The sequence below is a fragment of the Homo sapiens genome, chromosome 4, assembly GCF_000001405.40.
Source record: "Homo sapiens chromosome 4, GRCh38.p14 Primary Assembly".
Classification (NCBI taxonomy): Eukaryota; Metazoa; Chordata; class Mammalia; order Primates; family Hominidae; genus Homo; species Homo sapiens.
In genome coordinates, this window is record NC_000004.12 from 15,694,386 (window position 1) to 15,714,269 (window position 19,884).

The following is a 19,884-nucleotide window of genomic DNA, read 5'->3' on the forward strand; positions in this document are numbered from 1 at the left end:
TTGAGTTTGAGAACAAAAGACAAGGAAGTTAGCAGGCTACATTTTTGAAGAGAAACTCAGAGAAATTCATTGTATCTTACAACTCCTCCCTTTTAAATTTTCTTATGATTTTTCTCTTCAAACTCTTTAACATGTCTTGGCTTTGCCGTTTGTTTTGATCTTCTAAAAGGAAAAGCTTACTTGAATAAGGTGGAGGAGAACTAAGGGAGGCTTTAGTAAGTGCTGTTTGTACAATCTTTTGTATTTGCCTATGGATGCATGGTATGACACATCACCTAACGAGTTCGTCTAGTACGATTGCAAGAGAAATAAGAATTGAGGCTATGTTTCCTTTATATTTACCAAACCACTTTCCTAGCCATTCTGAAATAGGGTCATTGACTTCAGAATTTTTAGTTAATGCATTGGATAAAGCAGTAAATCCCTGCAAGGCCTTTGTTATGCTTCCATTGGGAGCAGTGTTGTTTGGGATGAAGGTGCAATATTGGGTTTTAATTATAACACAAACCCTACCTTTTTTGGCTAATAACATGTCTAGAGCTATTCTGTTTTCCCAAGTCATTTGGCTAGTAGGCCTTAATTGGTCAGCTATTCCTTTGATAGCATCCTTGGTGTAATTAATAAACTGTTGCTGATTATAATAGATGTAATTTATCCAAGCCACATTTTTATTAATAGTTACCTGTGGAAATATGGATTTAAATTCTGCAGCTATTTGGTCATGGACTTTGAATCTGTTAGGCACTTCTTGTGGGACTCCAATGACGTCTATGTTAACTTGAGAGTCAAAAGATCCATAAGAGGCTTTTCTTCTTCTTTTTTTTTTTTTGGCGGGGGAGGTGTTGTGGTTTTTCTTTTTCTGGTTGATGAAATGTCAGGGTGAAAGGGATAGCCAATTAGACAAGAGTGTAAGTACCACTCCAGTTACCTGGCAGAGTGTCCAGTAAGTGTTCACCACAATACCACCATACATCTGTTTGAGGATGACTAAGGGCAGACTGATGAGTAAGCTCCTGGAAAGGCTTAAGCTCACGGCATCCCATTAAGCTTCCAAGGAATGCCAAATTCTCCCCCTGTGGTGACAGACACAAGGTGAAATTGACGGGAAAAGGAAGCTGAGTGGTCCTCGGGGGCTGACTCGCAGGGTGTTGGACTTCGGGATATAGCAGAGAGAGAGCCTGGCATGATTTGTTGCCCCAAGCCGTAGAATCCTGGAAGAGAGCTACCATGCAGCCCATGCCCGGTCGACTGGGAGACCATCCGAGTGGAAAGGGGACTCTCTGGGCCTCCAGCCGGCCATGCACACAAGCATAACAACTGCTTTTATTTAATGTACTTGGGAGGTGAGCATGCACAATGTGTTTAGGAAGCTGTATGCATGCCATCTGAGGCTTTCTTCCATTTTCCAGGGGAGTGCCCCTGGAAGGTCATACTCCACCATTTTGTCTCTTAATGTACATGCCCTGGAAGTTGCTTTTCCCTGGTCTCTGCATTCAATTAACCGTTTAGTGCCGCAGGTGTGGACCATAAGGAAATGGCCTCTCCCTGGTGTCAGCTGCCAATTTATCACTTTTAAAGAGGCAATGTAATAAGTGCCAAACCAACACCCGACATTCCTAGTGGGTGGGGGAAGAGCCCTCTCCTGCTGCACTCATGCCTGTCTAACTACATGTAACACACAGAACTTTTTCTTTTTTTTTTTTAAGCTCATCAGCTAATGCTAGTGCTTTTTATGTGTGGCTGAAGTTAGTGTTAGTCTTATGTTAGTGTTAGTGTTTTTTATGTGTGGGTTATTCCAATGTGGCCCAGGGAAGCCACAAGATTGGACAACCCTGTTTTTTACATACATGCCTTTGTCAGATACATGTATTGCAAGTACATCCCAATTTGTGGATTGCTCATTTTCTTAGTGGTGTTTTTTGAAGAGCAGAATTTCTTAGCTTTGATGAATGTCAATATATAAATTTGGTTTTTGGCTTTTGGTACGTAGACCCAAAATAAAATAGATATAAATATCCCCAAGAGCATAAATAATAGCAACATGTAGTAAAATAATTAAGAAGTTATGTATTTTGGATGTTTATTACCTTTGCTTTTATTTATTTTTTTGAGACGGAATCTGGCTTTGTAGCCCAGGCTGAGATTGCAGTGGCGCAATCTCAGCTCACTGCAAGCTCCACCTCCCAGGTTCACACCATTCTCCTGTCTCAGCCTTCCAAGTAGCTGGGACCAAAGGCACCCGCCACCACGCCCAGCTAATGTTTTGTATTTTTAGTAGAGATGGGGTTTCACCATGTTAGCTAGGATGGTCTCGAACTCCTGACCTCATGATCCACCCGCCTCGGCCTCCCAAAGTGCTGGGATTACAGGCGTGAGCCACTGTGCCCGGCCTGCTTTTAATATAATTTATTTTATTGTAAGTTTATATAATTTAATTTTTAATATGACTGTGTTTAACAAATGGCTCCCAGATTTTTGATACATTTTTGAAAATATACCTGTCAAATATTGTCAGCCGGTTTCAGTGCATGACTGCCTGTGGTATCATTTAACATGTCCCTCTATCCTCTATATTTCCTGAAAACTGTAGTTAAATCTGAAAGTTTGCTAGATTCAGATTAGATAGATAGATAGATAGACAGACAGATGCATGGATACTTCAGAAGTGGTGCTGTGTATTTCCTGTTGCCTCACACATCAAGATAAAGTCATGTTTTGAGGGTTTGTGAGGTATGAAAGACTTCTTCCCTCAAAACAAACTCATCCCCCATGACAATGAATAAGATGAATATAAACAAAATGAAAAAGGAGTAAACCATGAGGGAAAAGAGAAAAGAAGAGGAGTTGTCAGGAACAGAATTTGGGATGGTGGAAAGAAAATGAGGAAGGGGTAACAATTTAGTTGGCCAGTGAAGGCTGAAACCTCAGTTGGCTAGTGGGGAAAGAGAATGTAAGCTGTGAAGAAAGTTGTTTGATGTCATGAACCCTCAAAAGGAAGAGGAATTGGAAGAAAGGTCTGTCACTAACATGAAAGTGGGAGTGGATGTAGGGCTGGAAGTCAAAAAAGTAGTTGGAAGTCCAAGAATGCCCTCCCTAATCCTGTGCAGCAACATATTTCCTGAAGAGTAGACCAAAGATTCTAGGTTGTGGGGTACCAGGCATCAGTGAGGCCAGAGCTTCTACTAAAAATGTGGTGAGAGAGGAGGGATAAGTGAAAATCTTTATACTGAATAGTGAGATTCTCCCAGCCACCTTCCCCCACTCAGCTCCACATTGCTATCATCCAGGCATATATCCTTCCAGGTAGAAAATAGGAATATTAGGCCAGGCACAGTGGCTCACGCCTGTAATCCCAGCACTTTGGGAGGCTGAGGCGGGTGGATCACGAGATCGGGAGATCAAGACCATCCTGGCTAACATGGTGAATCCCCGTCTCTACTAAAAATACAAAAAAAATTAGCCAGGTGTGGTGGTGGGCGCCTGTAGTCCCAGCTACTTGGGAGGCTGAGGCGGGAGAATGGCATGAATCCAGGAGGCAGGGCTTGCAGTGAGCCGAGATCACGCCACTACACTCCAGCCTGGGCAACAGAGCGAGACTCTGTCTCAAAAAAAAAAAAAAAAAAAAAAAAAGGAATATTACTCTCTGGAAAAACGGACTGTCCAAGAGAAAATGACAGGTATCTCTTAGTGATAAAGTGCAGTATGTTCATCCTACAGGGCAGCCCACCCTTTGACAAACTCTGACCATTTGCCTTGAGCCTGCTTCTAATTAGTGCCTGATATGGTATGGCTGCGTCCCCAACCAAATCTCATCTTGAATTGTAGTTCCCACAATTCCCTCATGTCATATGAGGGACTCGGTGGGAGGTAATTGAATCATGGGGGTGGGTCTTTCCCATTCTCATAATAGTGAATAAGTTTCACAAGATCTGATGGTTTTATAAAGAGGAGTTCCCCTGCACAAGCTGTCTCTTGCCTACTGCCATGTAAGACGTGCCTGTTGCCTTCTGCCAAATTACCCAGTCTCAGGTATGTCTTTATCTGCAGTGCGACAATGAACTAATACTGTTCCTTATGTTTTTCTGTGTTTGTAAAAATAATCAGCCAAAGGTCATCAGTTTATTTGAGGGAAACTTCTCACATTAAAGCCAGTCACCAAAATGGAAATAAGGCACTCAAAGGAAACAGACATTGGCAGAAGAAAATTTAAAAGAAAAATGAAAAACCTACATCTGTAATAAAAGCCTCAGAAATATTCACAAAACAGCAAGAGAAGATTATAAAAAGCAAAAAGACCTGAACGTGTAGAACACAACTGTATATATAAGTATATATATATATATATATATATATATATATATATAGTATAAATTTAAAAAAGCAACAGAGAAGTTGGAAGATAATGATAAATTTATATTCAAGAAAGTATAAGAAGACAAAGAAAAAAGGTGAAAATATAGAAAATTAAAGACTAGGAAGTCTAACAAGGAAATCATTCCTATATGAGTAACAGGAATTTCAGAAAGAGAAAACAGAATTTGGAGGAGGGGAAATTACCAAAAAATTGAGAAAATATCTCAGTATTTAAAGACATGAGTTTGTAGGTTAAAAGGGCTCATGGATTGTCCAGTACAATGAAAAACAACTACTTTTGCCCAACTTCATCTCTGAAATTTCATACTCCTAAGAATAGAAGGAAATTCTGAAAATTTCCAGATAGAAAAAAAACAGGCCAAAGAATAAAAAACAAAACAAACAACAACAAAAAAGGTCAAATAAACAGGAATAGGAAAATGGGTTCAGATTTCTCAACAGCAACACAGAAAACAATGGAACACAGTCTTCAAAATTTTGAAGGGAAATGCTTTCCAATGCAAAAATGTACCCAACCAAATTCTCAATCAAGTGTGAGGTTAGAATAATGACACTTTGAATTCTTATGCAAAAATCTCAGACATCCAATCAAATTCTCAATTAAGTGTGAAGGTAGAATAATGACATTTTGAATTCTTATGCAAAAAATCTCAGAAAGTTTAGTCCCTGTGTATCTTCTCAAGAAGCTATTGGAAGATGTGCTCCATAAAACAAGAAAGAGGAGGATGTGAGATCTAGTTGTATTAGTTCGTTTTCATGCTGCTCATAAAGACACACCTGAAACTGGGAACAGAAAGAGGGTTAATTGGACTTACAGTTCTGCATGGCTGGGGAGGCCTCAGAATCATGGCATGAGGTGAAAGGCACTTCTTACATGGCAGCGGCAAGAGAAAAATGAGGAAGAAGCAAAAGTGGAAACACCTGATAAACCCATCAGATCTTGTGAGACTTATTCACTATCACCAGAATACCAGAATAGCATGGGAAAGACCGGCCCCCATGATTCAATTACTCCCACCCTGCCTCCCCACCCCCACCCCAACCTAGCTCTCTCCCACAACACGTGGGAATTCTGGGAGATACAATTCAAGTTGAGATTTGGGTGGGGACACAGCCAAACCATATCATTCCACCCCGGCCCCTCCAAATCTCACATCCTCACATTTCAAAACCAATCATGCCTTCTCAACAGACCCTCAAAGTCTTAACTTCAACATTAGCCCAAAAGTCCACAGTTCAAAGTTTCATCTGAGACAAGGCAAATGCCTTCTGCCTATGAGCCTGTAATATCAAAAGCAAGCTAGTTACTTTCTAGATAATGATTACCTCCAGGGTAAACAAGAGGTTTACAACAAATAAAATGTCATAATGTCCCAAACAGAATAATGTCCCAAACAGAAACATCAAGAAATAGCATATAGGTATTGTATTAGTCTGTTCTTGCATTGCTATAGATACCTGAAACTGCTCATTTATAAGAAAAAGAGGTTGAATTGGCTCACAGTTCTGCAGGCTGTAGGAAGCATAGTGGCTTCTGCATCTGGAGAGGCTTCAGGAAGTTTCCAAATGTGGTGGAAGGCAAAGGGGGAGCAATGGGTCTTACACGGTGGCAGCAGGGAGCAAGAGAGAGGGAGGAGGTGCTACACACTTCTTTTTTTTTTTTTTTTGAGACAGAGTCTCACTCTGTCACCAGGCTGGAGTGCAGTGGTGAGATCTCAGCTCACTGCAACCTCCGCCTCCCAGGTTCAAGCGATTCTTCTGCCTCAGCCTCCCGAAGAGCTGGGACTACAGGTGCGTGCCACCACGCCCAGCTAATTTTTGTATTTTTAGTATAGATGGGGTTTCACCATGTTGGCCAGGATGGTCTCGATCCGTGATTCCCAACACACCCCCCACACCAGCCTCCCAAACTGCTGTGATTACAGGTGTGAGCCACGGCGCCCTGCCAGTGCTACACAGTTTAAAACAACCAGATCTCACTTACTATCATGAGAATAGCAACAAGGGGATGGTGCTAGACTATTCTTGAGAAACCCACACCCATGATAAAATCACCTCCCACCAGGCCCCACCTCCAACGTTGGGGATTACAATTTCACATTAGATTTGGTGGGACGAGCCATGCCAGGGATGCCCCAAAATTACTAAACTAAAGGGAAAAGTCAGGCTGGGAACTGCTCAGGGCAAACTTGCCTCCCATTCTATTCAAAGTCATTCAGCTGCTCACTGAGATATATGCATATTCTGATGGCCTTCTTTGGAAAGGCTTATCAGAAACTCAAAAGAAGGCAACCATTTGTCTCTCACCTACCTGAGACCTGGAAGCCCCCTCCGTGCTTCGAGTTGTCCCCGCCTCTCTGGACAGAACCAATGTACTTCTTACATATATTGATTGATATCTCATGTCTCCCTAAAATGTATAAAACCAAGCTGTGCCCTGACCACCTTGGGTACATGTCGTCAGGACTTCCTGAGGTTGTGTCATGGACACGTGTCCTCAACCTTGCTAAAATAAACTTTCTAAATTAATTGAGACCTGTCTCAAAATTTGCGGGTTCACACATGTTATTTAGAAATATGGAAGTAAACACAGGAACAAAACTTGAAAGAATTAAAAATGCTTTCCTCTGGAAAGTGGATTTAACTTAAGGAGGAACTGAACAGGAGAATGCGGGTTTTGGTTACAGAAAAAAAGAGATTCAAATAAAACAGTAGAGAACACCTGTTCTGTCCTCCCTTGTGTTTATCAAGTGCTTGCCAGGCACTCAAAGTTCATTGCTGTCATTATTGTAAGAATTGAGGACTTGGGCCTCCACGTGGTATTCTATTAATACTGGCTCTTTTTTTTTTTTTTTTTGAGACGGAGTCTCACTCTGTTGCCCAGACTGGAGTGCAGTGGCCCGATCTCGGCTCACTGCGAGCTCTGCCTCCTGGGTTCACGCCGTTTTCCCGCCTCAGCCTCCCGAGTAGCTGGGACAACAGGCGCCCGCCACCGCGCCTGGCTAATCTTTTGTATTTTTAGTAGAGACGGGGTTTCACCGTGTTAGCAAGGATGGTCTCGATCTCTTGACCTCGTGATCCACCCGCCTCGGCCTCCCAAAGTGCTGGGATTACAGGTGTGAGCCACCGCGCCCGGCCAATCCTGGCTCTCTTAAACTGAACATCTCCAGGATTTTGCATCTATCAGGAAGGGATATTGTGACCTCTGACAAGTTACAGTCGGCGGTAGGTATCCATGGAGAATTGGTTCCAGGAACCTCCTGGATACCAAAATCCACAGATGCTCAAGGCCCTTATATTAAATGGTGTAGTATACAGTATTTGCACATCCTCTTCTATAATTCACGTCATCTCCAGATTCCTTGTAATATCAAGTACTATGTAATTGTTACATAAGTAGTTGTTACATTGGATTATTTAGGGAATGATGACAAGGAAAAAAAAGTCCGTACATGTTCCGTACAGATGCAAGCATTCTTTTTTTCCTCAAATGTTTCTCATCCGTGGTTAGCTGAATTTGGATGATGAATCCGCAAATCTGGAGGGCCGAACATGCTTAACTTCCCTGAGTTTATCCATTGCTAAAGCGAGAGAAATTACAAACTTAGCTAGGAAGGGTGTTGCGGAAAGTAATTAATATTATACTTGCAAAGTGCTTGGCACGTTGTTGTGGTTATTATTTCCTGAAAACAAACAAACACCACTTATTGGTTGGTGTGAAAGAGGGCATCTGTCAAAGTTGTCGTCCTTTGGAGCCAGAAAAGTATTTCTTCTGATGATGACTGACCTCTCCTCACCTCTCCTTCAACCTTGCGGCTTCTTTGGGGCTCCCTCCCCGTGGACAGCGGTCAAGATTAGCCTGGGCCACAGTGCACTGGTCCTGTCCTGGGTGATGTTCCAAGCTCACTCTTTTTTAATTTTATTTATTTATTAATTTTTTTTTTAGACAGAGTCTCACTCTGTCGCCCAGGGCTGGAGTGCAGTGGTGCAATCACTGCTCGCTGCAGCCTCGATCCCCTGGGGTCAAGCCTCCTCACATCTCACCTCGCAGGTAGCTGAGACTACAGATGCGCACCACCAGGACCAGCTAAGTTTTGTATTTTTTTGTAGAGAGGAGGTTTCTCACCTGTATGTTACTCAGGTTTGTCTCGAACTCCTATACTCAAGCGATCCGCCCGTCTAGGCCTCTCAAAGTGCTGGGATTACAGGCATGAGCCGCCGCGCCCCGCCCCACGCTCAGTCTTGAAATTGTCTGGAACGGGAAACGGCAAACAGCGAGATATCCGAGCGAGAGTCCCGCCCTGCATCAGTTTGCGGAACCGCCTTGGTAGAAGGAGAGAAGGGGAGTGGAGGAAGCACGGGACTGGAGGGACCAAAGTTCCCCGATGGCGGCCCAGGGGTGCGCGGCATCGCGGCTGCTCCAGCTGCTGCTGCAGCTTCTGCTTCTACTGTTGCTGCTGGCGGCGGGCGGGGCGCGCGCGCGGTGGCGCGGGGAGGGCACCAGCGCACACTTGCGGGACATCTTCCTGGGCCGCTGCGCCGAGTACCGCGCACTGCTGAGTCCCGAGCAGCGGTGAGGCAGTCGGCCGGGTGGAAGGGGAGCCGGAAAGAGGCAACGGTGGGGAGGGCCTGGGGAGGGGAAAACTGGCGCTAAAGTTCGGGGTGAGGGGGCAATGAGAGAGGCCTTGAGGGGAGAGGTGAGTGTGGAGACAGCGATGGTCCTGAACGATGGGGGCGAGTGAGGAGGGGGCTGTGAAGTGTGTCTGCAGGTGAGGGGTGCGCTGTGCGGGGTCTAGAGATGAGTGTGTGTGTGTGCGCGCACACACACACTGTAGAGGTGAGGGGTGTGTGCGTGTGTTCTAGAGGTGAGGGGGGTGTGTGTGTGCGCGCGCTCTAGAGGTGGGAGGTGTGTGTGTGCTCTAGAGGTGGATGTGTGTGTGTGTGCTCTAGAGGTGGGGGTGTGTGTGTGTGTGTGTGCTCTAGAGGTGAGGGGTGTGTGTGTGTGTTCTAAAGGTGAGATGTGTGTGTGTGTTCTAGAGGTAAGGGGTGTGTGTGTTCCAGAGGTGAGGTGTCTGTATGTGTGTTCTAGAGGTGAGGGGTGTGTGCATGTGTGTTCTAGAGGTGAAGGGGGTGTGTGTGCGTGCGCTCTAGAGGTGAGGGGTGTGTGTATTCTAGAGGTGAGGGGTGTGTGTGTTCTAGAAGTGAGGGGTGTGTGTGTTCTGGAGGTGAGATGTGTGTGTGTGTGTTCTAGAGGTGAGGGGTGCGTGCATGTGTTCTAGAGGTGTGTGTGTATCTGTGTTCTAGAGGTGAGGGGTGTGTGTGTGTAGTCTAGAGGTGACAGGTGTGTGTGTGTGGTCTATAGGTGAGGGATGTGTGTGTGGTCTAGAGGTGAGGGATGTGTGTGTGGTCTAGAGGTGAGGGGTGTGTGTGTTCTAGAGGTGAGGGGGTGTATGTGTATTCTAGAGCTGAGGAGAGTGTGTGTTCTAGAGATGAGGTGTGTATGTGTGTTCTAGAGGTGAGGGGTGTGTGTGTGTTCTGGAGTTGAGGGGTGTGTGTTCTAGAGGTGAGATGTGTGTGTTCTAGAGATGATGGGTGTGTGTGTTCTAGAAGTGAGAGGTGTGTGTGTTCTAGAGGTAAGGGATGTGTGTGTGTGTGTGTTCTAGAGGTGAGTTGTGTGTGTGTTCTAGAGGTGAGATGTGTGTGTGTTTGTTCTAGAGGTGAGGGGTGTGTGTGTGTAGTCTAGAGGTGACAGGTGTGTGTGTGTGGTCTATAGGTGAGGGATGTGTGTGTGGTCTAGAGGTGAGGGATGTGTGTGTGGTCTAGAGGTGAGAGGTGTGTGTGAGTGTGAAGGAGGGTGGAGAGGTATCCCTCTAGAAGTGAGGGTGGGGTAGAGGTGAACTGGGTAACAGCCCATTGCCACCCAGCAGATGTTTAGTCTGAATACTCAGAACCCAGAATGTGATCTCAGGTTGGAATTCCTTGAGTCCAGTCCTTCCAGAATTCAAATTTCAGATCCCCTAAATCTGGAGGATTTCTGAAGTTTGGGTCTTTCTTGCCAGTGCTGCATTTCTTACTGATTTTTGTTCCTTCTGTGGCCCCCCTTTTCTTATGTTTGTGATGTCTTTCTTGTGCTGATCATTTTTATTGTCGCACATTTCAGGCAAATAAGAAACAGCAGAGAACCACCTGTGTTACACACCACCCAGTATGAGAAACAAAGTTACAAATGCTATGGGAAATATTTTTTGAAAACTAGCATGGACCTCAAGAGGGGCTTGCACTGGAGGGTGCACCTGCTTTGCCAGAGGTGGAAGCCTTTTGCAGCATTGGGCCTCCCTCCTAACACTACACATCCTGCTGGCTGGCCTGGCCTCACCTGGTCCCCGAGCTCCACACTGGAACTGGACTATGAGACTGGCCCCACCGTTAGGTCTAAATGAAGAGGCACCTGCTGTATAGTTGACTGAATTTGTCACCTCCTGCTCGGTGCCATTTCTGCTTGTCTCCGTGAGCCTGGGGCAAGGCTGTATTCCTTAGCTCTGAGAAATCTGTGCAGTGCCTTCAGAGAGACAATTCCAGTGTCAGATTTCTGAATCTGTCACCTAAGCCATGACAATTCGTTGTCTTTTTTGTAAGCCTACTTCTGCAGTTACTATATGAAAAATCTCTTGTAAAGCTCTTAGACAAATGGGCATACTTCACAACACATTATGATGTGCATGTGTGTGTTCTTCCCAACTTGTACTTTTGCACAGGAACAAGAACTGCACAGCCATCTGGGAAGCCTTTAAAGTGGCGCTGGACAAGGATCCCTGCTCCGTGCTGCCCTCAGACTATGACCTTTTTATTAACTTGTCCAGGCACTCTATTCCCAGAGATAAGGTAACACCACAACCATCTTGGGTAAAACTGTGTTCTCTGTCTCTACAGAAATGGATGGTGCATGGGCCAGGTTGACATTAGCTGTCCCCTGCATCCTGCAATGTCACAGAAACATCAGGCAGCACACATAATGTGTGTGCTGAGCTCTCTGTGGGAAGCTAGCTTTGTTTCTGTATTAGTCCGTTGTCACATTGCTATAAAGAAATGCCTGAGACTGGGTAATTTACAAAGAAAAGAGGTTTAACTGGTTCACAGTTCCACAGGCTGTACAGGAAGAATGGCAACATCTACTTCTGGGAGGCCTCTGGGAGCTTTTACTTCAGCAGAAGGCAAAGTGGGAGCAGGTGTCTTACATGGCACGAGCAGGACCAAGGGCAGAGGGAGGTGCCACAGGCTTGTAAACAACTGGATCTTCTGAGAACTCCCTCAGGAGAACAGCAGCAAAGGGGGAAATCCACCCCCATAATCCAATCACCTCACACCAGGCCCCACCTCCAACATAGGGGATTACAATTTTACAAGAGACACAAATCCAAATCATATCAGTTTCCAATAGTGATTGTAGATCTCCCGCTGGTTGTGGGCAGAAGAAAATTTCCTAAGTTAGCAAGTTAGTGTGAGAATCAACATGAGGACATCAGGACATGGCCATACCTGTCACACTGGGCCTCCACATCTGGCCAGTTCTAAATAACCTTCATCCTAACTGGCCCAATGGCCTGAACCTTGAGTAATTCAGAAAACTCTCAATCTCAGTATCCTCCCGGGAGACCAGTCTCTCCATTTAACGGGTCTTAAGATTATATTTATTTAGTACCAGTTTATTTAAGAAAACCACATATCTATATTCTGTATACACTCTCAGGTCTAATAAAATGAAAATAATGAGAAAATTTCCATAAAACCCTTGCTTAAAACAATACCTCAAGTTTAAGGAATGCTAGACACCATTTTTGTTTCTGTGACATAAACATTGTTAACCTGATTTTTTCCATTGTGTGTTATTTGTAAAGGCAAGTAAATGGAACTGTGAGGTTCAAAGATAGAATAGACTGAAAACATGATTTTTGAGTATATGCTGTCTTTTGAACCTTGCTGCCCTCCTGTCACTAAAAGTGGGGAAGCTGACTTTTTAACCTTCTGTTTCATAGATTCGGTGCTAGTTGATGAACTCAGTAAATACTTCCGGGGCTATTTGTTTGCCAGTCATTGGTGCTAAGGGTTAAGGATGTAACAGTGAAAAACAGCCCTCACCCTTGGGGACCTTCTAGTCTAAATATAAACTGATTGGACTACTGAGGGTCAGATGAAATAGTGACTGGGGGATTTGTGTTATTGTTATATAAAAACACTATGGTGGAAACTATAAAGTATAATATAAAAGCAATGTGTTTTTGAGGCACTTGACACTTTAGGAAGTGCTTTTTGTGACTGCTTATTATCCTGGCCACAGCTCTGGAAGAAGAGAAAGGGCTCATGCTCTGCATTTTCCAGAAGTAGAAACTGAGAAACAGGGAGATTGCATGCCTTGCTCAAGATTACATATCTAATACATGACAGAGCCAGGATTCCAGCCCAGTTCCCTTGATCATTTTTAATGTAGGGGATCTTACCACATGCACGTATATTTAGTACTAGTGAGAAAATATTCCATTAACATTTGCATGATACCCTGGGAATAAAGGGAGGAGAGATGCTAGCAGTCTTTGAATGAATAAATAAAGACAACGAAAAAGAACGTTCAGTTGTTGTGCAGCAGGTCAGAGTTGAATGAGAACTGGATTGCCCAACTTGCCTTGATGATATTGTGCCTGAGGAGTCGGTTTTGATTCTGTTTTGTATTTTGATGTTTTGTTTGTCTTTCCTTAGTCCCTGTTCTGGGAAAATAGCCACCTCCTTGTTAACAGCTTTGCAGACAACACCCGTCGTTTTATGCCCCTGAGCGATGTTCTGTATGGCAGGGTTGCAGATTTCTTGAGCTGGTGTCGACAGAAAAATGACTCTGGTAAGACTCCTGCACAAATCACAGGAGACTTAAGAACTCCTATTTACTATGCATTACCATTTGTGCTAAATGCTTTCATATGCATTTATTTCACTTGATCCTCTCCAAGTCCTCTGAGATAAGTGGCAAGAATAGTTAATAATAACAATACTAGAGAATACTTAACTTTGCAGGTGCCAGTCTAAGCACTCTCTCTCTCTCTCTCTCTCTATATATATATATATATATACACATATATATACACATATATATACATATCTATACATATCTATATCTATATATACACACATACTCATTTGATGCCCACAACAACCTCATGGGATCCTATCATAATCCCCATTTTGATAAATGAGGAAACTGAGGCACAGCAAGATTAAGAAATCTGCTCAGGGGGCATAGCTAGTAAGCAGCAGACAGTCTGACTCCAGAGCCCATTTTCTCAACTTTGCACAACTCTGCCTTACTATCCTCATTTGTCCAGAGGGGGAAGCTGAGGCTTAGGGAGGTTAAATGACTGGAAGTGGTAAGGCTGGGTCTCAGTCCTGTCCTGATGGATTCTGAAGCCTGTGCTCTGTAACACCACTCCAGGCCGCCGGCAGATATTTCGAGATCCAAGTCACAAGGAAAGTTAGAGTCACAAGAGCTGGCCTGAATGTTCTGCAAACACTCCTCATTCATCCAACTGTGGTGCTAGGAGCTGGAGACACAGCAGTCCCCATCTTCAGGGAGGTTATAGCCTCATGGGGGATATCAGCTCGAGTGATATGGGCTATAATGCAGGAAAAATGGTGTTCGAGGAGTAGCAGAGTGAGACACCAGCCTCCACCAGATCATCAGGGAAGCTTCAGAAGGGAGGCTAGCAAGGAAAGGAGGTTAGGGAGTGTTTCCATTATGAAGACTGGAGATCCTTCCTGGGTATCAGAGTTACTTCAAAAGTTAACCTAATATCAGGCCGGGCATGGTAGCTCACGCTTGTAATCCTAGCACTTTGGGAGGCCGAGGTGGGTGGATCATTTGAGGTCACGAGTTCGAGATTAGCCTGGCCAACATGAAGAAATCCAAACTCTACTAAAAATACAAAAAAATTAGCCAGGTATGGTGGTGCATGCCTGTAATCACAGCTACTCGGGAGGCTGAGGCAGGAGAATCCCTCGAACCCTGGAGAAGGAGGTTGCACTGAGGCGAGATCATACCACTGCACTCCAGCCTGGATGACAGAGTGAGACTCGGCACACACAAAAAAAAGAGTTAACCTAATATCAGTTCTGTTTATTTCTCCTCCATTCATTTGTCCATCAAACTAAAATTTATAGTGTCTACTATGTGCCAGACCCTCATCTTCTAGACAGTAGGAAAACAGCAGAGAATAAAACATGAAATTAATACCCCATGCTTACATTATAGGAGGGCAGATAAGACAATAAACAGGCAAGTGAAATATACAGACTGCCTTAAGATTATAAGGGCTATGGAGAAAATTAAAACAGGTAATAAGGACAAAAAAGATTGAGGGTGGAGGGCCAGGGAAAGGAAAGTGTTGCATTTTTACCTAGATGCCGAGGGAAAACCTCACTGATAAGCTGATATTTGAACAAGGACCTGAAGGAGATGAGAAAGAGCATTTTCTGATGGGAGAACAGCAATTGCAAAGGCCCTGAGGTGGGAGCGTGTGTGACATATTTAACAGCAAAGAGGACAGTGGGCAAAGAGGAAAGTGTGAGCTATGAGGCTAGAGGAATAAAGGAGGGCCAGGTGGCACAGGATGTTGTGAGGCCTCTGCTTTTCACTGTGAGTGAGATGGGCAGCATTGCAGGTTCCACGTCAAATGGACACAGCCATTCTTTCAATGGAGAACTTCCAGGAAGCTTTTGTTTGATGATGCTGCAGAGGGTGGGGAGAAGGAGGGGAGGAATGTGATGAAAAACACATAAAGAAAGGGAGAGCCTTCCAGAAAACCACCAGTTATTTCTTCTTCACCTCGCTGCCCTTTTCTATCTATGCCCTCCTATCAGGGCTCTTTGTTTCAGAAAGAAGTGAAGTCCAGCAGTTCAGGTCAGCTAAATAACCATATGTGTATGTCATGGAATCCTGTGGGGCCAGCAGCAATGGTGATGGGGTTTTTTATTTATTGACCCAGAAAGGGGCATGTTTTTAAGCAAAAAATAAATTTACATAACCCTGTGATTGGTATGAGGCTATTCAAATAAAAACACATATACACAATACATCTATGTAAATAAACACAGAAAAAAGTCAAGAAAATAGCAAAGCCAAACCATTGACAGCAGCTCTTTTTTATTTTATTTATTTATTTATTTATATTTTAAAATCATTATTATTTTTTGAGGCAGCGTCTCACTCTGCCACCCGGGCTGTAATGCAGTGGTGTGATCCTAGCTCATTGCAGCCTTGAACTCCTGTGCTCAAGCGATCCTCTTGCCTCAGCCTCTTAAGTAGCTGGACTACAGGCACACACCACCACACTAGGCTGTTTTTAAAATTATTTTTGTAGACACATGGTCTTGCCATGTTGCCCAGGCTGGTCTTGAACTCCTGACTTCAAATAATCCTCCTGCCTCAGCCTCCCAAAGCACTGGCATTACAGGCCACAGTACCTGGCCTTGGTGCTTTTTTTAATTTTAATTTTAATTTTATTTTTGATTTACTCAAAAAATTGTATATATTTATGGCATACAATGTGATGTTTTATACATATATACATTGTGTAATGATCAAATCAGGGTAATTAGCATATCAATCATCTTAAACATTTACTATTTCTTTGTGGTGAGACATTCAAAATCCTCTCTACTAGTTATTTTGAAATATACAATACACTATTGTTAGCTATGGCCACTCTATTGTGCATTACAGCCCCAGTACTTATTCCTCCTATGTAACTGTAATATTGTTGACCAACCTCTTCCCATCTCCCTTATCCATTCCCCTCTCCAGCCTCTGGTAGCCACTATTCTACCCCCAACTTCTATGAGATCAGCTTTTGAAGATTCCACTTTCAAGTGAGATCATGCAATATTTGTTTTCCTGTACCTGGCTTATTTCACTTGACATAATGTCCTCCAGGTTCATCCATGTTGTTGCAAATGGCTCAATAGTATTGCATTATGCATACATGCCATATTTTCTTTCTTTTTTTTTTTGAAACGGAGTCTCTGTGTGTCACCCAGGCCAGAGTGCAGTGGCACGATCTCAGCTCACTGCAGCATTCGCCCCCCAGGTTCAAGCGATTCTCCTGCCTCAGCCTCCTGAGTAGCTGGGACTACAGATGCGTGCCACCATACCCGGCTAATTTTTGTATTTTTAGTAGAGATGGGGTTTTACCATGTTGGCTAGTCTGGTCTTGAACTCCTGACCTCAGGTAATCCACCCGCCTCAGCTTCCTAAAATGCTGAGATTACAGGCGTGAGCCACTGTGCCCAGTCTATTTTATCTATTAATCAGTTGATGGACACAGATTGATTCCATATCTTGGCTATTATGAATAATGCCATTAATATCAGTTTTTGCTAGGAATATGAGGTCAACTTGTAGATTAGAAATTTTTTTTCTTTATAGAGTATATGGTAAGTACATCCCACATCCCATTGATCTGCTAGGGTCTTTAGTCTGTCCTTAAACATTGTAAAATGTAATACATTTTAACATTTTATATATTTTTCAATTGTATAAAATTTCTGTTTCTGGCTAAGCATTATCACTTTCTTAATCCTTTGTTTCCTTGCATTTACTACTAAGATAATGGCTAACAATTTAATTTTTGGAGACGGCTCTTCTCCCAATAAAGCAAAGGTTTTTGTTGTTGTTGTTTGTGGGTTTTTAAACATTGTTGAGAAATAACCCAGCTAATACACTGATGCTCAGTGGTCAGCTAGACTCACTCACTAGCCAGCTATTTAGTTCTCTGCCTTCCTCACATTTGTGATGAGCAAAATGACCAACATCTTTAGTATCATGGACAAGGTGGTCCCTCACCAGGCTCCTTGTGGATTGAGTGGGAAGAACTGTGGATGTTAAACTTGTACACATTGTACAGAATGGAAGCTAAGTATACATCATGGAACTGGGATATATTGTAAGTTAATTCTTCTCTGAGATAGATAATCTTTGGAATAAAATGTGTTTGTCTACTTACCCCTTAGGACTCGATTACCAATCCTGCCCTACATCAGAAGACTGTGAAAATAATCCTGTGGATTCCTTTTGGAAAAGGGCATCCATCCAGGTAATGCTGGGATGATATCTGAGTGGTTGAGCATGTGTGGGACCCATAGAGATGGAACATAGTCATTCAGAGTCTGGGCCCCAGGTCATCACTCAACTTCTCTGAGCCTCACTTTCCACTTTTACCACATCATGATTCATGCTCTTTGCTATATAAAGTTGTGAGAATTTAAGGGAATAAAATACTTAATGCAGTGCCTGGCACGGAGAAAACATTCTGTAAATGTTAGCTATACATGAGGGTTTTAATTAGTCATTATTATTTCCATTATGTCCTGGTTATCATTAGTATTTCAAATCAATGATTTTGATTGCTACATAAAATGGGGCAACTCCTGCTTTATGGAAGACCCTAGGATGCTGGAGATCAATTTGTGGGGATCAGAAATGTCCACAAGACTAATATTAATGGGAGAGGAACTGATAGGAGATGGAGGATAAGCTGGAGACACAGAAATGGTCCCCTGAAGGTAGGTCTGTTTCCCAGAGAATGATGTCACCAGAGTTGATGACAGCTATCTGTAGCTATAACATGCCAGTGACTACAGCTGACACTCTCTGTCATGAGAATTAGAATAGAGATTACAAATAAAGAGGGTTAAGTTCTTAGTTCAGTGCCTGGCAAAGAGCTGTTGACTATAAAACATTAGCTAGGTTGACCAGGTGGATGTCAGGCCCCTTCCACCCACCACCGCCAACCCCCTTTCAGGACTATCCATGTCTTTTTCAGTCCCATCTTCTACCCTAGATCCTCAGGTATCCACTAGGTTGATTGTTAGTCAGGGTGAGAAGGACCTTGGCCAAATCCTCCATGGTGGCTGCAGTTTGGAGCTAAGCAGGGGGTCCCTCCCAGATAAAACATATTCTGTTTATTATTGTGCTCTGCTGCCCACCCCAAGAGAGCACCATTTGCTCCCACTACCTGTAGGTTTCATCTTGAGCACAGACTCCAGTCAGTTGGCAGTGGCTGCCAGGGCCCCTCATTGAGAACTGGGAGGCTACAGAGATGTCATCATCTGAAAGTGGGATCAAACAGTAACTCAGGGGAGATGTCAACATTACATGTAAAGGAACCATGTATTTTACCCAGTGGATCTGCCAGACTTCCAAGAGTGTGCTACAAACCACCACCTTATACTTCCTCCAATTCTATAATGGAAATCTCATACTAGTGCCCACATTTTTTGAGAACTTGGCATTTGCTCTGTAGTCGAAGCAAGAGGAGAGGTAGTGTGGTATAGTGATGGGAAGCAGATTTGAACTTTAGCAGACAAGTATTCAATAAATGTTAGCAGTCATTATTTTAAATATTTTCATCTTTTTTTTTTTTTTTTTTTTTGAGACGGAGTCTCGCTCTGTCGATCTTGGCTCACTGCAACCTCTGCCTCCCGAGTTCAAGTGATTCTCCTGCCTCAGCCTCCCGAGTAGCTGGGACTACAGGCGTGTGCCACCATGCCCAGCTAATTTTTGTATTTTCAGTAGAGACAGGGTTTCACCATATTGGCCAGGATGGTCTTGAACTCCTGACCTCATAATCCACCCGCCTCAGCCTCCCAAAGTGCTAGGATTACAGGCGTGAGCCACTGTGCCTGGCCAAATAGTTTCATCTTTATGACAATTCTGTGAGGCAGAGACTTTTAACACCCTTATTTTACAGATAATAAAGTAAGGTACAGAGAGGTCAAGAAGCTTTACCAGGATTATGGAACTGACAAGTAGGGGAGCTAGGATTTGAAACCAGGCAGGCTGGCTTGAGATCAGACTTTCAACCACGACGTTATACAGCCTTATTGCATTGGCATACTTTTTATTTTTATTTTTATCTTTTTTTTTGAGACAGAGTCAGTCTCTGTCACCCAGACTGGAGTGCAGTGGTACATTCTCAGCTCACTGCAACCTCCACCTCCTAGGTTCAAGCGATTCTCACACCTCAGCCTCCCGAGTAGCTGGGACTACAGGTGCGTGTCACCATGCCCAACTAATTTTTGCATTTTTAGTTGAGATGGGTTTTTGCCATGTTAGCCAGACTGGTCGCAAACTCCTGACCCCAGGTGATCTGCCCACCTCAGTCTCCCAAATGGCTGAGATTACAGGTGTGAGCCACAGCGCCTGACTCTGCACACATTTTTTTTTTAATATTTTTTTCTTTTTGTCAGTGTAATAGCTGCTCATAATAGTGAATGACACATATAGAAAATATAAATTAATCACCCACATTCCTGCCACCTAAAGGCAACCCGTTTAGCATAGTGGTGATCAGGTATTGGCATTTAAGAATTTAACTATGACTGTTAGCACTATTTGGAAGCAATCTATGACATGGAGTGTATTGTTTGGTATTGTGTATCACTTTGCTAGGGAGTGAATCCAGCCACCTATAC

The 19,884-nt window shown here is 43.6% G+C and overlaps 1 protein-coding gene across 8 annotated transcripts in view, besides 2 other annotated features; it reads left to right on the plus strand.

Moving 5' to 3' along the window:
- Positions 750-1,346: an enhancer, noted in NCBI's record as "OCT4-NANOG-H3K27ac hESC enhancer chr4:15696758-15697354 (GRCh37/hg19 assembly coordinates)". NCBI's record gives its function as "activates a minimal SCP1, AML or CMV promoter by ChIP-STARR-seq in naive H9 embryonic stem cells {active_cell/tissue: H9 hESC(naive)}" and the evidence as "EXISTENCE:reporter gene assay evidence [ECO:0000049][PMID:30033119]".
- Positions 8,619-8,698: a silencer, noted in NCBI's record as "silent region_15300". NCBI's record gives its function as "represses an Ori minimal core promoter by ATAC-STARR-seq in GM12878 lymphoblastoid cells {active_cell/tissue: GM12878}" and the evidence as "EXISTENCE:reporter gene assay evidence [ECO:0000049][PMID:35858748]".
- BST1 (bone marrow stromal cell antigen 1) overlaps positions 8,680-19,884 on the plus strand; it is a 71,109-nt gene continuing 59,904 nt past the window's right edge. For 7 of the 8 annotated variants that reach the window (XM_011513878.4, XM_017008566.3, XM_017008565.3 and 4 more), the window contains exons 1-4: positions 8,680-8,947; positions 11,130-11,256; positions 13,126-13,261; positions 17,422-17,504. In XM_011513878.4, the coding sequence (XP_011512180.1) occupies positions 8,760-8,947; positions 11,130-11,256; positions 13,126-13,261; positions 17,422-17,504 (534 nt within the window). In that variant the 5' untranslated portion in view covers positions 8,680-8,759. The remainder of the gene's footprint in view (positions 8,948-11,129; positions 11,257-13,125; positions 13,262-17,421; positions 17,505-19,884) is intronic. The other variant, XM_011513881.3, reaches the window with a different exon arrangement.